This window comes from Homo sapiens, chromosome X (assembly GCF_000001405.40).
Source record: "Homo sapiens chromosome X, GRCh38.p14 Primary Assembly".
Classification (NCBI taxonomy): Eukaryota; Metazoa; Chordata; class Mammalia; order Primates; family Hominidae; genus Homo; species Homo sapiens.
This window is the reverse complement of record NC_000023.11, coordinates 123180711-123197828: the sequence shown is the minus strand read 5'-3', so window position 1 is coordinate 123197828 and position 17118 is coordinate 123180711. Positions and strand designations below refer to the sequence as shown.

The window sequence follows — 17118 nt, the reverse complement described above, 5'->3', positions numbered from 1 at the left end:
CAATGAAGTTAAGTAACTTGCCCAAGGTCTCACAGCTAGTAAGTGGAAGAGTTGGGATGTGCAAGGATAAGCCACAACTGGCTGAAACACTAACCATTGATTTCAAGGATTCAATATTTTTATCACAGGCTCTCATAAAGGCAGAGAGTAGATGAATATGAAGAGGAATTTCTAGATATAGAATTTGAGGAGCTTCATTTTGGATGGCCTTTTCTCAGTAAGAAATGAAATGAGATGGTAAGAATTGGACAAGAGTTAATGACAGAATGTCTTTGTTGTTGTTGCTGTTTTTGTTTGTGTTTTTTTGAGATGGAGTCTCACTCTGTCCCAGTCTGGAGTGCAGTGACACGATCTCAGCTCACTGCAACCTCCGTCTCCTGGGTTCAAGCGATTCTCCTGCCTCAGACTCCTGAGTAGCTGGGACTACAGGCACACACCACCACACCTGGCTAATTTTTGTATTTTTAGTAGACACGGGGTTTCACCATGTTGGCCAGGCTGATCTCGAACTCCTGACCTCAGGTGATCTCCGGCCTTGGTCTCCCAAAGTGCTGGGATTACAGGCCTGAGCTGCCATGCCCAGTGGATAGAATGTCAAAGATAGAAGTCACAAACATCATCCAGAAGAACCTCCCTAGTTTACACATGATAAAAACTAGAGCCAGAGATAGGTGTGATTTATCCAAGGTCATCCAGGCAGTGGATATCAGAGCTGAGACTGGAACCCAGATCTCCTAATTTCTGTCCCATTGTTCATTCCACCACCCTCCTATTGCTCTTACAACTTTTACTGTTTTCCAAGGCCATAAGAAACATGATATCTCAAATGTTCTGTTACTTATAGTTTATTTCATAAGACTTCAACATAAATTGTGTGGTGTATATATGGGTCAGTTAGTCTTAATCTATACTGTAGAGGTGGTCAGTTACCCTCATTTGGAAATACATAGACCAGGAATAGTAATTTAGCATTTAAAGAATTCTAATCAAGAAGTGATTGTAACAATCACCTCAGGAGTTTATCTCCAATGAGCACCAGAGGCTTTGTTAATTAACATTAAACTTCTCATTGGTGAAATTAATAGTGTACAACATATGTGGATTGGCTAGAAATATGGTAGAGGAGTTCCCAAATTAGCATAAAGAAAACATAAGCATCTAGTAAGCTCTATAATATTATCCCTTAGAAAAAATGGTACTGTAGGTTCAATTTGTAAATTGTCCTGTGGACAGCCACTGATGGGGATTTTTGGTTAGCTGAATCCTGCTACTAGAATGTTGTCTTGTGTGCCTCAAGTAAACCTTCATGCAAGGTGTTGTTGTAGCACCTAGAAGCAAAGGGAGCTGAATTTGTCTGGGTCTACAGAATTGGATATCAAATTATTTTATGTCTATTTGCTATTATTTTAATGGGAAGTAGAATATTGTCTGAGTCTTGCTGTTATAGCTGGTAGTGATGTTAATGGGGAGAAGATCTATAGCCTCACTTTAACTATGGCAGGCTATTAATATCCAACAAAAAGTACGTAATGATTGTCAATGACCAGATTGGGTTAGGTTAGTTTACAACTCCAGACAACTATTACATCTCTATTTTAGACCCTGGTCTAAAGTTGGTGAGCCTCTTTCTCAGAGTATATGGGAAGTTCCTACCCTGGGTGGCTGTTGACATAGCCTTACTTGACCCAGTGGCCTCCCAGTTGTGGGCCTGGGGTTTGCATGTTCTAGAACCTAAGAAGTTGTCCCAGAGCACAGCCTCCCCCCACCAATGGTGATGTACCTCTTCTGATCTGCTGGGCGCTTATTAATGACCTTGTGCCAGCATTCTGACCTTGCTGAGGGCCTCCGCATTGCCTGGGGGAAGGTTAGTTAGAGTCAAGCTGGCACTCAGTCATGAAAAGCTACTAGATATAGAGTGTATGTACATGGCACCACAAGTATTTCCACAAAGGAGAAAAAATTCTACCATATTGAGATACTTTGATGGCACACTATAAGAAGAAAGTCAAAATAGAGTTTTTACTGAGAAGAGCTTTTCTCTCTGCTGTTCTCAGTAGTTATAACTACCAGTTAATAGAGCTTCCCTCAACCAGTAACCTAGCTGCTAAAAGGAGGTATATAGTATAGTGCAGAGGTCAGAAATGTGTACTTTCCACTCCCAGTCCTTCTAGGTCCTGTTGCAGGCATTTTGTTTGTCCCATAGTGGTTTAAGAAAATTGAATTTGAATGTCTTCAGGCAGAAGCATGGACTCTCTGGATTGTCATAGGCCCCACCACTCCCTATTATAACACACCTGGTCCAATTACCTACCACTTTTATGTGGTCTGCGTAGCCCCTATATGCATTTGAAATTTCAACCCAAGTTGAAATTGATTCAGCCTCTAGAGACAGGAAGATCTCAGGTCGAATCCTGGCTCCACTACTTAGCTAGTTGTGGGACCTTGAGCTAGTTGCTTATGCATTTTGAACCACCTATCATTCCTCTTTTAGAAAATGGGGATGAGAGTTCCTCGCTTGTGGCAATATTGTGATGATTCCATGAGATAAGGCATGTAAAATGCTTAGCACAGTGCCTTCCATGTGGTACGGCTTTAATAAATGGTAGCTGTTATTATTTTAGCTCTGGTTTTAAATTTGTTGATAGCAAGGATGGGGAGGAAGGCACAGTGATTGCTATATGAACTGATTGCAATACATTTATTTTTAATAAGTGAGTTGGCATTTGCCATGACGTCTAGTTCAGAGCATGTCTGAGGACGAATCATTAGCTAATAAGCAAAGAAAGGAAGAAGCATTGTCAAAATGAAAATAATTCCTTTGTCTCTACTTACCATCTCAAAGAGCATTCTGTTTTATTTCCCTCAGAGACTGTGACTTGAGGCTAGTCTCTTAGTTCTTCCAAGTCTTAGATTTCCAGCCTGAAAGCCAAACTCTCTAATGCTTGCATAGGCCAATAGCACCTCAGTTACATAGAGAAGTAACATATGTGAAAGTGCCTGGCATAATACCTGGTGCTCAGTGGGTATTCAATAAATATTCAATCTGAATCTGTATATCTCTGTAGTACTGGGGCTTTTTAAACCTGTGATTCCTAAACTGAGTATGCGTTAGTATCGCCCATAGACCTTGGTAAAATGCTTATCTTGATAGTTTCTGATTCAATACATCTAGGGTATGACCCAGGAATTAATATTTAACAAGCATCTCTGGTGATTCTAAAGCAAGTGGCCCAATTCAAGAAACACTGTTTAATGAACAAGGAGCTTTGGAAACTGCAGTGAGGTACTAGGATATTTGAGAATGTTTAACAGGTTCTGACTGACTTTGGACATTAATGGCTTTACTAATCTTAATTGTGCAAAGGTGTTCACCTACACAAAGACCTGTACCCACACCCATACACTTACCCCTCTGTGAGCTGCATCCTGATCCCTTCCCATCTCATTTATTGCCTGTGGCTTGACCCCTTTCTGGGGAGCTACAAAGATGAAGGCCCTGGTTGCAATGAGTAATTGGCAAGGTAGATTAGCCAATCATGGATAATTGAGAGGGAATTATTTTTGATCACAACAATTTTTAAAAGCTTAAATTCTCACCATACCTCATCACAAACTGATTTTACCTCTGAAAATTTTCCACAGTAACTGTGGAAAATCCTGAAGCTGAAATCACCTATTGCAGCAAACACCACACACAGAACAGGCAGCAGGCCCACTACCATCAGAAGGGTATGACTTCGGTCAAAGGCAGCTAAAATAGTTAAAGATAACTAAAATCTTAGTGAATAAAGTACCAGAATTTATCCATGGAGAAGGTCAAATGTTGAAAAATAGGTGAAGTGTATTTGAGGGAATCTTCCTTATCCTCAAGAGTCTACCAGCGCCCCTCTGAATGCCCGCAATCCATTTGGTGCCTCACTTCCTTGGGCAGGTATCTTGTTCTGGGTCATTTACCTGTCTTGGAAAGCCCCCTCTGAGGATCCTGCAAGGTAACAGGTGGTAATCTGAACAGAGAATTCTGGTTGAAATATTAATGACTGATAAGGATTTAATTTATTCCCTTCCAGATAGCACGCTTGCATTTTGGCACAGGCTTTCAGTGCAGTAATACAAATAAACAAATTTGTGGAATTTCAGACTAATGGCACACTGTTGGGGGGCAATTTTTCTGGGGAATTTTGCTATTTTGCGATCCTCAAATGACACTGGGTAAGCTTTTAATGGCTTCCCTGGAGCAGTTCTCGGCTCAGGTCTGCTAGAAAGTGACATTACTTCCCTTCCCTCCCATCCCTCCCATCAGTGAGTGCCTGGCACAGGCCTTGAAAATGGAGTCAATTTTTCAGTCTCTTAGGGAACCAGATAGAATTCAGGTTGTGTTGTACTTCTTGTTTCTAACCCTGTTTAAGGGAAGTCAGACAGCTGAGGAGCAGATGTTACATTCCTCCTTCTGGCATGCCTTGACCCAGAGAAGCAAAGTGGAAAGGCAGTTGGAACTGCATGCCAACCTTCGCTCTCTTGGGCAGGTTGTTTCTAAAAGGGGCACTTTGGGGTATGGCAAGAAGCCAAGACAGTGTCACCCGGGCTCATGAGCTACTTCCTCGCTGAACCTGCCTTTCAGTCCCCACTCCACATCCCTACAATAAAACAACTCTAAATGCTATCATCAGATATCTAGTAATGCCACCTACAGACCTGGCTGAAATGGACACGGACTTGTTGGGAATGTGACAGATACATACTTGAGTAAGAACGAGCCAAATGTGTCTCTTACAGAACCTTCTTTGGAGGGCAAGAAGATACAAAGATGGATAAGAGCTGGTCTGCGAGAGCCTTTTCCTTTAATGATCACAGTCTCCTTGCTCTGGGCTCTTCTTACTCAAAGTGTGGTTCCAGGACCAGAAGCATTGGCATCACCTGGCAGCTTGCTAAAAATGCAAATTCTTGGGCACCATCACAGACCTAGTGAATCAGAATCTTTGTTTTAACAAGATTCCTAGGTGATTGGTGTGCACATGAAAAATTAACAAGTGCTGTTCTACCCTGAATTGCGCCTCATAGGGTTGAGGGATCATTATCAGCTGTGTTTCCTCTCCTTATTCTTATCCTTGCTCCCCTGCACCCTCCAAATAAGGACAAATGATGGTTGTGTTGAGGATAATTGCTTAAGAAGCCAGTGACGGTTGGGAATTGAGGAACAGGGAGGTCCAGATAGAGCATGGGATGTAAACACTTCTGTGACCAATGAGCAATTGGAAATCCAGAAGAGAATATGCTGGTTATTTCCACTGGGAGGGAGGCCAGAGTGTATGTTTGAGACAAGGTAAGGGAAGGATGGAGGGAGGAGGAGATACTGCTTAACTACACTTCCAAATACCTCCAGAGATACTATTTAGTGACGGTGAGAGGGATGTTACCTCTTAAACGTGGCATTCCACATACCATCCCAGGGAAAGGAAACTTACAGCTGGAGAGATAGCTTCTCTCCCACCCTTATCCTCTCCTATAACCTTCCTTTTGTGCCAGTACATCTCCTGACAGTGCCCACATAGGCAGGTTCAGTCTCCACACCAGCCTCTTTAATAAAATAAATACCTATGAACTTTAGCAGCTTCTCAAATCACCCCCAAAGGCATTTAGATTCAATATGAAGAAGTTGAACCTGCAGCTTCCCAAATTACCCGCAAAGGCTTTTAGATTCAACATGAAGTTGAACCTGCCTATGCCTCGGGTGTACTTACACCCAACCTACTATGGGCAGTTAGACTTGTACTTTGGCCTGTAAAAGTCTTCTATGACCAAAGCCAGCTGACCTTTAGTTTGGGTAGAGTGAACAGCCACTCTGAGAGTAATATCCAGAAACACTCCTATTTAAGTATCTTTCCTTGAAATTGAGGCAGTATGTTTCCCATAGTCCCTAGTTTTGAAGCAGATACTCCCCGTTACATATATTAACCCTTTACCATTTATCTGACATTTTCATATATATGAAATATATACCTATATTAGATATAAAGCTGTCACCCCCAAAGTAGAGTGCAGGCCGTACTGCACTCTACATCCTTGGAGCATGGACCAAGAGTAAAGGTATTCTGGTGGAGAAGGAGAAGTTCTGGGAATTAGGTCTGGAAAAGTCCGGGGTAGAAAATAGTCCCTAGGTAAGTTTAGTGTGGATGGGATGCTAGAATCAGGGGCTGGTCAGTGAGTAGGCAGAGACCAGCAAAAGGGAGTTAGACGAGCTGGACGGATAGAGCAAGAGAAGAAAATAATGGCAATAGAAGAGGTAGAAATATGAGGAAGACAATTTCTATCCATGTTAACCTTTGTCAAGGACTGACCCTTTTTGGGGGCTGCTGCCTTAGCTCAAGGCTCATCCCACACACGGGCTGAGGCTATCTATAGCTCTGTATCTGGAGCCCAGACAGTTTCTGAGCAGCTCCCAAGATGGAGGGAATTCCTTTTGTGTCTGCACAACTCCCACAGTGCTGCTGAAGAATACCTATCACCCCCACCTGGGGTTTTAATTGCACCCTCCTGTGGATATTTTATCTAATAAGACCCAAAGTAACAAAGCCAAAGGAATAAAGTCAAAACTTGATTTTTTAATGGAGCAGGTAAAGTATACAGATTATTTGCTTGACCTTCATTGAAGATAGATGGTTTTATGAAAGGTCCTTCAAATTTATTTTGCAGTCTCAATCTAAGAAGTTGACAGGGAAATCATCTGGATAAGCATGTTTATTAGTCTCCCCCAAAGTTATGGAATTCTATCGTCTAAAATTCTGGCCCTGTCTTAAAATCTATGCCATCATTTAATCCTTAAACCAACTGTATAAAAATGACAAATCTCTTTAACTGTAAAAAGGAAGACAAATAACGATGCCTCAGGAGCTTCATTTATTTTTCAATCTGTTAAAATGAAACCAGCCAATCACCTCTGACTACCCATAACAATGAAATTTAAAAATACATCAGGAGCCAAAAACATAACAAAAAGCTCATCGATCCTCCACTATTATCACTCAGTCTTAGGGACTAGGGAGGGAAATGCAGAATTAAGGAAATTACCTCTGTAGGGGCAGAAGTAGGAAAATGTGGAAAACTAGTTTCATTTTAGGGAAAAAAAGTTAAAATTGCAGAGAGGGAGAAAAACCATGGCCCATTTTGCAGTAAATGTAGATGGAGAACAAAATAATTCCCTTTATTCCTTTCCTTCAAACCCTTCTTGCTGCTGTCCCCCCTGATTTAGTAGATCAATAGGAAGCTGCCTTCTAGGGGAGGTAATACACTTTGCAGGAAGCTCACCTTTACAGCCTGCTGATTGCCATCTATTTTTATGGCCCAAATGAACAGCATCAGCTTCTTCCCTCCCCCGCCCTATGAAAAATAAATTTTAAAAACCGTAATAAACCTTGTGAAAACGTGACTTAATTTTTTGACTGGCACCACTAAGGCAACCTCTTCATGCTTCAGGGGACTAAGCCAGAGGGGCCGAGAAGTGAGCTAAGCCGGCGTGCTTACTGAAGGCTGGCCAGCAGACAGAGGAGAGAGGGAGAGCAGCAAAGGCACAAAGGCAGGGAAGAGGGGGAGTGAGGGAGGGAGTGGAACCAGAGCAGTCAATGTTGGGTAGTATGGCAAAATCTGTTAAGGGAAGGAGGCTTGATCTTGATCCCAGGAGTCTTCACCTGGTTTCCAAATCTTACATGGAAAGGACAGACACCAAAGCCAAACCAAGACAAAACAAAACCCACCAAATTGCAAAGAATGGGATCAAAGGAGACATTTCCTTCCCAAATGGACATAAATAGTTAAATTGATTTTGGCAATTATAATAATTAGATAATTAGATTGTGACTCTGTAGGCAAGAGACAGAAACCTGTCTCAGCTAAGTATATTTGGTAGTGAAATGCGCTTAGTTGTAAAGGGAGTGTGTTCTCAGCAGTTATATTTCAAATGGCTTGAAAAAAATTAATGGAATAAAATTTTGCATCTGATGGGTTACGTTTAGCCAGCAAAAGGGATTTTACCTGGGGCTCCATTAAAGCCTGCACTCCTAAGTCCTATTCTCAATCCCACCATCACCATTGTGCCTCCATCAACAGATTTTTATTTAAGCCAATGCGTTTAGAGTACAATTCCGTGGTGAATAACCTTTAAGGTTACATTTGCCTTTTCCCTGCTTCTTGCAAACAGTGCGTAATCCACAAGCACATTTGTTGGCTGTAAAGGTGTACAACAGCAATTTTTGCAATGACAGTGCGGAGAGGGAATATGAGATCTGTGTGCTAATGAGCTGACACTGCAGAGGCTGGGGCGGTGTAGTGTGGAGTGCACTACAAGTGCACAGCAGAAAGACACAGGAGGGGACTTCAAGGGAATCGGCGATGTTTCCTGAGGAACCAGGACAGCAAAGCCACACGATGGGACACATCAGTCCCTTGGTGTTTCCACACCCCTGCCCTGAAAGCCTTAGGACTATTGAATCTGTTTTTTAAAAAACACACATGTAACTTACATGTGTATACATCTCTCTTCATATATATTGATTGTGTGTCTATGAATGTATATATCCTGAAGCCAAAGAATTCACACCACTCTTGGTTCTGGGGTTATCTAGCTAAGTTGAAAAGTAAGGCAGCAAACTCTATTAATCCTCATGAAATGGGAACATGTGCTTCAAATCAGGTAAGTCTCTTAGATAAACTTCAATCCATCTCTGAGTTGAGATCCCAAATTAAACACCTTTCAAAGCCAGTGTGGCTCTTATTGGCCTCGTAGGACATGGAATAAAGTTGGAGTCTGTCTTAAGCAAACCTCTTGGGGGTTGTGCAAAAAAATTGGTTTCTGATGAAGAAGAGTCTTTAAATAACTGATGCCTGGGATTCATCGCAAGGAAACCTTTCAAACACATTGTCAGAGGTTGTAGGGGTGGGTGATGTGGAGGGAGAACAGAGAACAGGGACACATATATGAAAGAATTACCCTTTGTTTATTCTTTGTGTATTCGTTTACCTGCACACCTACACCCTAGAAAGTGTGTGCCTGCCTCAGGATTGAGGGTGCAGGAAAGATCATGAGAAGAGATCAATTCTAGTGCTAAGGGAAGTTGAAACTAGGAATTTTGCATAGGAATAAGGGAAAGTTTCTTTAATTTTTGCCAGCCCATTCCATATTGAACCAGATAGGAGAGGTGGTTGGCCAGATTGAGACTCATCTGTTGTTTTCTGGAATTCTCCCTAGGTCTCCAGAGAAGGACAGGCCGGAGGATACAGAGGTTTCTCTTTGCACAATCAGGGCAATCATTTGGAGGAGTGGAACCTGGGGGTCACCTGTCAGGCTCCAGCACTGAACTAGAATTTCAACCCAGTTGGAAATATTTGATCTCCGCTTCCACAAGAAAAAGAACAATTAAAGCCAGGGGTAGAAATGAGAAACACCTCCAGGGCTTCTTTGGTCCCTTGAAATACTTGGTTTCTGCATTCCAAGACTATGGTTAGACGAGTCATCTTTCTCATACTAAGCTACCAAGCAGCAGCTGCCTAGAGACAGCTTTGAGATCTGGCCCCCATTCAATGATTGTGACATTCAGAGATGACTGTTTCAGGGACCAGAGAAGATGACAGCTTTCCTCCTCTGTCTTCAGAGAAAGCAACAGGCAGCTGGATACACAACACTGGTTTCTAGCTATTTTTCCTGCGTATGTCTGTGCATGCATACATGTGTATTTGACATAACTAAGGGCAAGGTCACGTTTTCATTTTCTTTTTCTTGTTGCCCAGTGAGCCACACTCCTTCTCCCGAACTCTCAAGCCCCTAGCCACAACCCAGCCTTGTAAGTGGAAATGCTATGAATTTACGGTGAGGGATTTTGATCAATTTCTTTTCCTTTCCCCTGGTTGTTCTCTTATTGCCCTGAGAGGTAAGGCAATAAGGCAACTCAATACCAATATGGATGACTTATTGCCTTTTCCTAAACCTGAGATTTTCACATGGCAAGAATCATTTCTGATTGCTTCTTGAGTGGGGTTCTGACAGTCCAGGGCTGGTGGGTGTCAATCTGGTTTGACCATAAGAACAGGACCAAAAACCTTGGAAATCAATCATTTCTGAGAAACCAAATGGTTCTCTTATCCCAGTTCTCATCAGTGAAAAGACACTGAAGGGAGTTGAAATAAATATTATTTGTTACTAATGGTAATAAACCCTGGTAGTTTAATGTATTTAGTTTTAAATCTGTTCTAATTGATATTTAGGAAGCTGCATTTGAGATTCAGCCTCTTGACAAGATCACAGTGCTGCAGGATTAAGAGTCAGATGCGTGTTGTAAATGCTGTGGAGACAGGCTGGGATTACCAAAATAAGATGCAAAGTATAGACAGACATTTCGTAACTTTCACACTAGCTGGAATTAATAAATTCCTATTTTTGTCAATGTCAGAAAGCCAAAGAAAGTCAAATATGGAGTATCTCAGAACACGTTCATATAAGGATCTGTATCTTCAGCTAAAATTTTCTTAAAGCTGACAACTGTCATATTTCTTGCAGAGTATGTTACCCCCATCCTCTTGGCCCAAGTCTTCAAAGCCAAGAAACCTGTGCCCTTGGAGAGACCCTTTCAGTGGTTTCTGGAAACCATGCATCCTTTGAGGCAGAAGGATTTAAAGAAAGTCATATACAAAGTTTCACCCATCCAAACATAAATATCATTTCTCCCTTGGAAGAGAAAGGAAGAAAAACCCCAAATTCCAAACTACATCAGCCATAAAAGCAAAGCATATTTTATACCATATTCAGCCTCATTGTTGTGAAAACTTTTAGTGAAATAAGCTTACATGAAGTATTCTCAGTCTTTCTCACGAAACATTCCATTCAAGTAAAACCATATGTCCAACAGGCTATTAGCCATTTAGGTTCCTTTGGTTGTATTTTACAAAATGTCCCCTTTTCAGAGGAATAATCACCCGGTACAACTAAGGATTTCAGAACCGGCTTTGGGCCTGATGAATTTCTTCTCTTTCCATATTCAGTTTTCCTGCTCCAAGCCTCCTCTCCTCCTGCCCCCTCTTTGCTCTAAATTAAGAACTGTGTTGTCTTTAATGATCATGGGGGTGAACAACACTAGGGGAGGCAGAACTAGCTTTCTAAATCATCACCTGATCACCATTTTCTCCCCTCCCCTCAGTTTGCTAGGCATTCATCACTTGCAATCAGTTTGTAGTCTTATGAGTTCCTATCAGAGCTCTCTCAGTAAGTAAGGTAATATTTGAGGACAGAAAGAGGCCAGGGAACCCAGCCTGTTCTGCCCCTCAAGGTCACTTGTTTGCAGAATTTCTCATATTTGCTTCCTACACATTAGGCAATTGTCAAATTCAGCTCGTTCCTAGAGCCAGGCACTAGCTTTAACAGTCAAGTGATGTACATCCTGAATTGACTCAATCAAGAAGCTGCTGCTGCTTTTTTAAATCTCATCTGAAGAAATTTCTCTGAACAACCGTGCTATTTTTTTCTTTCTTTCTTTTTTTTTCCCCAGTTAAAAAAAAAAGAGAGAGAGTGTTGGAGAAGGAACACACTAGGTTAGCATGGAGGAAAATGAAACTTTTGCATCAAACACTATTTGGAGCAGACTTTTGCCCACTGTCTTGAGTTTTTCCCACTGTCTTAAGCCCCTCAGCAGTATCATTTGGAGTTGATTTATGCAACATGAAACCGGATGGATTAGAGCCCCTAAAATATCTACTGAAGCAATCATCTCCCAGCACATACACAGACCCTAAGTGCCACAAGAAAGATGCAAATGAGGTCCCCAACGTCCCAAAGGGAGGAAAAGCAGATCTACTTACAAGCATTTGTCACGGAAAAACTATTGGAGGAATCCAAGTGATCTACGTGGTAATTCAAATGGAAGGGCTTCTCGGTGGTGTTCTGGTTGGTGTTGTATAACTGCACGGCAAAGCGGAAAGCGCTGTGCTCCTGCACTGTGTTTCTCATGAAAAGTCCACCTATAAGCAAAGGGAACGGAGATTTGGCTTGTGTTCCCCCACACTAGGGCCAGTTAGGAATTGGGGAACAATATAGATACCGGATACCTCTCAATGATACTGGGGTGTGGGATTGAGGATTGATATTCAACCTGTGTGTCTTTCAAGACTTGTGAACTCAGATTTTGGCCAAGAGAAACCTGGCTTTTCTAGACTGAAAAGAAGAGGCTAGAGAGAAGGGAGAAGAGACGAGGGAGCCGTTTTGGGTTAGGACGATGGAACCAAGAGTGAGACTTGGTTCTTTCTTAGTCGGCAGCCTTCTTTTTTTTTAGTCGCCCCCCCCCTCCGCCCCCCGCCCATCCGCACAGCTGGTCATCTTTTCATTGTGTGAAGGGAAAGGTTGGGAAGAAAAACAATATTGTTCCCCCTGCTACCCCAACCCGTTCCCCATAGCCACCCTCCCCCGTGACAATACAGGGGGTTGGTTCAGTAATGGCAAAAATTCTAACTTCTAGACTTGTAAATACGACAGAAGCCAAGATAACTCCCTCCAGGCGCCCAGGAGCCGGGCTCCAGACAGACACAGCGGCAATTCATGAATTCGTGGTCTGCGTGACTTCGCCGCTTGCCCGCTCAGCTCCTAGTCTCACCCCCGCCTCCTACCCCATCCACCACCAACGCCTGCTGCTGCCCGGGTCTGGGAGATCCAAAGTGGGCTCCACCTCCCCCAGCACCAGCCTGTCTCCCGACAGCCGGAGACCACGGACTGAGCACCCCGGGCCCGGGTTATGCGCCCTGGCGCGGCCAGACAGTCGGCATCACCCTGGGACAACTTCCAGGAGCTGCACGCACGCCATGGCAAAGTCCAGAGCAGCGAGCCGAAAAGCCTCGACTCTTCACCCCCTTGCAGCATCCCAGCCTCCTGCTCGCCTCCGGTGCTCCTCTCGGCTCGGAAAACCTAGCAGTTCACCCCCACTAGCCCCAGGAGACCCCTCTCTTGTCCCAGAGGCTCTTCAGACCAGCCACCTCGTTGAGGCTCAGATTCCCCCCGCCCCGCCCCCCGCCCCGCACCATCTCTGCCCGGTCCCGGCCCCAGTCCCAGTTCCCAGGCCACGCAGGACAGGGACCCACCGCAGGGAAAGCCTTGCCGGGGCAGTGGTCTCGGGTGAGGGAGAGCCTGGACCGACGGCTGGCTCGCTTGCGCTTACCTATGCTGATGGTGTTGGGGAATCCTCCGTGAGAATGACCCAAAAGCCCCAGGACTAAAAAGAAGACCGCCCGGAGCACGCTTTGCCCCATTTTCTTCTGCCTGGCCATGCTACGCCTAAAACGAAGCTGACAAGAGCATGGGCGCAACTCAGGAGTCGTCAAAATAATAATAGAAAAAGAAAAAGAATTCGCTGGCTCTTACACCCCCTCCCCTTAACTTGCTCTCGCTCACTCTTCCTTTCCACCCCACACTAGTCCTCCTCCTCCTCCGCTGCCGCCGCCTCCTCTTCTTCCTCTTCTTCTCTCTCCCTCTTACTCTCTCTCTTATTCGCTCGCTCTCTCTCGCTCGCTCTCTCTTCCTTTCTTGCTCCCTCTCTCTCCCTCTCGCTCCCAGGATCTCTCACACCCCCTCCCTTCCCCCCACCTCACTTCTGTCTTCACACCAATCTGGAAGGCGGGTTCATTGGCTGCAAGCTGGGTTTGCCAAAGCGATTTCTGTCCCTATGATAGAGAGAGAGAGAGAGAGAGAGAGAGAGAGAGAGAGAGAGAATAAAATCCTAAAACAGAACAAAACAAGCAAAACACTGAAAAACAAAAATAGAGAAGCAAAAGAAAGAGAACGAAAGAATAAATTATCAAGACAATCTGAGACTCTCTCCGCGCCCCCCCCCCCCCGCAAAAGATGGTAGGTCTAAAGAGGGGGGGAAAAAAAGGAAAGAGCGAAAAGGCTCAGTGCCGGTGAATTGGGCTCTTCCAATTGGGCCAGTAGGGGGATATTGATCAAAGTTGATCTGACGTGGAATTAAAGCCGCACACCGCTTAGCTCTACTGCAAACTGCAGCCCCGGACTGCAAAGCCTAGGCGCTGGCGTTTGTCAACACCGGAGATGGGATCAATAGAAATACACCACTCCTAACGTGGATCAACCTTTCAAGCTGCAACGTCCTCCCACCCTTTAAAAAAAAATAGCTGCATTGCCTCTGTGTTTGTGTGTCTGTCTTAAAGAAGGGGGGCCTTAGGAGGGCCATTAGTGGTTACTCCGGAGTCTTTGTAGAGACTCAGAGAAGCAGTTCCCATCACAATGCGCCCGAAGATGCTGCGCATGCCCGGTCTCTGCCGCTCCGCTTTTACAGCAGAGATCCGAGGGCGAGTGAGCAACCCCCACCCCCATCCCCGCAGCTTTGGGAGGCGTGTCCCTCCCCTTAAACTAGTGCTGAGGCCGGCTTGCGGGGGCATGGGGTGGGCGGTGCTGAGCAGTGATGGGCAGTATGGGGCTGACTTCTTTGGAGGGCATAGGAAAAAGTATGTGCGTAGAGGTAGTAACTAAAAGGTTAATGAAAAGGACGCTCAGGCTCACTGACCAAGGAGGAGGGAGGTGTGGGAATGAGCTGGTCTGGGGGTGGGGATTGAAAGTTGAGGCTGGAGAAAACTGTACCTAGCTGCATTGATCCCTTGGTGTTGCCTCTGGACTTAGCAGCCTAGGCCCCTGACTGATGACCTCAGAGGTTATCAATTCTTTCTGACTCTTCTTCCCCTCTGCTCTAAGGCGAGCAAAGAACCTATGAAGTCCTACAGTACAGACCGGATTTCAGTGACGGTGGCCTTCTCCATAGCATGCTGCGGATGAACCTCCTGGGCTATAGACTCCTCTCCCTAGCCCCTTTCTCCCGCAATGAGGAAAAAGAATCCTCTTTATCTCTCACGTTTTTCACTTTTACTTTACAGTTACTGTAGAAGGCATGGGTTTTATCCTCCCCACACCTGCTATTTTCCTTTTCATATCCTCTCCTCCTGGTCTAAGTGGAACATGAACTCTCCTGCCAGTGTAAAGCGAACTGATATACATCGGGGATAAAATTGGGAATATACAGGGGATAGAAGGACCCTGGAGCCCAGCTAGTATATCAGTTGCTACAGAACTTTGGATTTGGCGAGACGTAGTCTGGAGCCTGGAACAATGGAACAAAATGGCTTCAAACCAGAAAAATTGTCCTAGGCTCTTCCCAAATTTCTATTCATTCTGATAATGCATAATTTCCTCCCACCCACCACTCATAGAAATCTTTTGTCTCCATTTTGATATTTCATGGACAGGAGTGAAGGAGAAACATGAGAGTCTGAGGAGACTCATCTTTTCAGTGGAAGAAGCATTAGGGCAAAGCGGGTAGCAGAGGTAAGGTTGGTCATCCCCTGCCAAATGTAGACAGGGACATAGCATTATTCGGGAACATGGGCTTAGGAGGCATACACGTCCAGGTTCGAGTCTAAGTCCCATCACATACAGGCAGTGTGTGACCTTGAACAACTTTGTTAATCTGAACCCCAGTTCTCTCATCTTCAAAATGGGAATATTAATATCTTTCTTTATAAGGCAGTTGTGAAAATTAAGTAAGATAATTGATATGAAAGCATCTAATTCAGTGCCTGCCTCAGAGAAAAATCAATAAATGTTAATTTCCAAACTCCCTTCCCTCTTTCTCACCTAGTAAAAGTGCCCTCTTGTCCCCCAAGTTTCCTCATGCTGTCATCCTCCTCTCTCCTCATATTCCACATAACTTCAGACTCTGCTATCAAGTCTATGCCAATGTTCCACATTAAAATCTTTCCATTGTGGCTCCTCAAAAGGCCCGGGAGACAATCTTTACTAAGATTCTAATGGCAGGCAATGACAATTTAATATTAAAATGTCACATTTAAAGAACCTTTACTCTGTGCCAGGCACTAGGTGTTTCTCCTTTTTAGATAACACAGTTGCATTTTAATAGGAGCCTTCAATGCCTTGTCCCAAAGGAACAACTTTAATGAGGAGGTTTTAGTTTTGATTTCATGTGAGTGAACAATATATTTTGTACGAGGAGAAAGTGACTTTCAGCATGTCTCACTTCACTCCTGAAAGTAGCCACGTCCCCAGCCATGCTTGGCCAGCTGTAAGAGGAGGTGGAAGAAAAGATCTGTGGCCATCTTCACTGTCATTTGGCTTGAAGAGTGATGAGGGTGGCTCAGTAACTAAAGATGAGAGGCAGAAAAGTATTTTGGTGCCTATGCACTTGAAAACCCTCGAAGTCATGAATGTAAATGCCACCCATCCCTTCCATTGTCATCCTCCCCTGCCCAATACCTTTTTCCCCTCTCTTTTATCTGCTGCCACTCTTTCAATTTTTAGCTGTCAGTGGCAGCTGTTGGCAGAGTTGGACTACTCTCATCTGAGCCAGCAGGGGCACAGTGGTAGACTAAGCATATTGCTGTTGGTTGAAAAGCCTGTATAATACATGCAAATTCTTTAGCAATCGATTCCTCACCCAAAAGAGCAGGGAGACACTTTATAAACTTCAACTTTGATTTTCCAACGAGGGGTTAGAGATTATACTAGCAGCATCATAGCCACCAGAAGTTGCCAACAAAGCCCCAAACCTAGCTCTCCCTCTGTGGTTAAGAGTATCCCTGCTGAATTTAGGATTACCTGCTAGCCTTAGTACCTATGATCTGTACTTTTAAATGAGCTCTATGATATAGTTTAAATAGCAAGAAAATAACCATTGCAGTTTTTATCAAAAAGTAAAAAGTGTACTTCTCTTCATGAGCTTTGTGCTTGTTTCAGGCTTGAGAGGTGCACTTGGATAAGCATAAAGAACTGTTGGCCAGTGGAATTCTAAGAGGTGATCTATACCGTACAGTGAGCCTCATACTTGCCAACTTCATAAAAATCAGGAAAACAACAACAGAAATCATCCTATTTCATTGGAAGGAAACTGCTATACCCTTCGAAGAAAATGAAACCAAGATACTATATCCTTTGCCTAATGGGAGCATAATTTTCTAACCATTTGACTTGATACTTTGATTTCTTCAACATTTATTGACCACCTACTATAGGCAGACTTTGCTAAGCACCAGGAATGTAAGGAAGCAAGGAACAGTTTCTGCTTTTCATGA

General features: G+C 43.9%; 1 protein-coding gene across 3 annotated transcripts in view; it reads right to left on the bottom strand.

The window, feature by feature from the left end:
• The window catches only part of GRIA3 (glutamate ionotropic receptor AMPA type subunit 3), a 306638-nt gene extending 293087 nt beyond the window's left edge, over positions 1-13551 (bottom strand). For all 3 annotated transcript variants that reach the window (NM_000828.5, NM_007325.5, NM_001256743.2), the window contains exons 1-2: positions 13185-13551; positions 11839-11997 (exon numbers count right to left, since the gene is read on the bottom strand). In NM_000828.5, the coding sequence (NP_000819.4) occupies positions 11839-11997; positions 13185-13293 (268 nt within the window). In that variant the 5' untranslated portion in view covers positions 13294-13551. The remainder of the gene's footprint in view (positions 1-11838; positions 11998-13184) is intronic.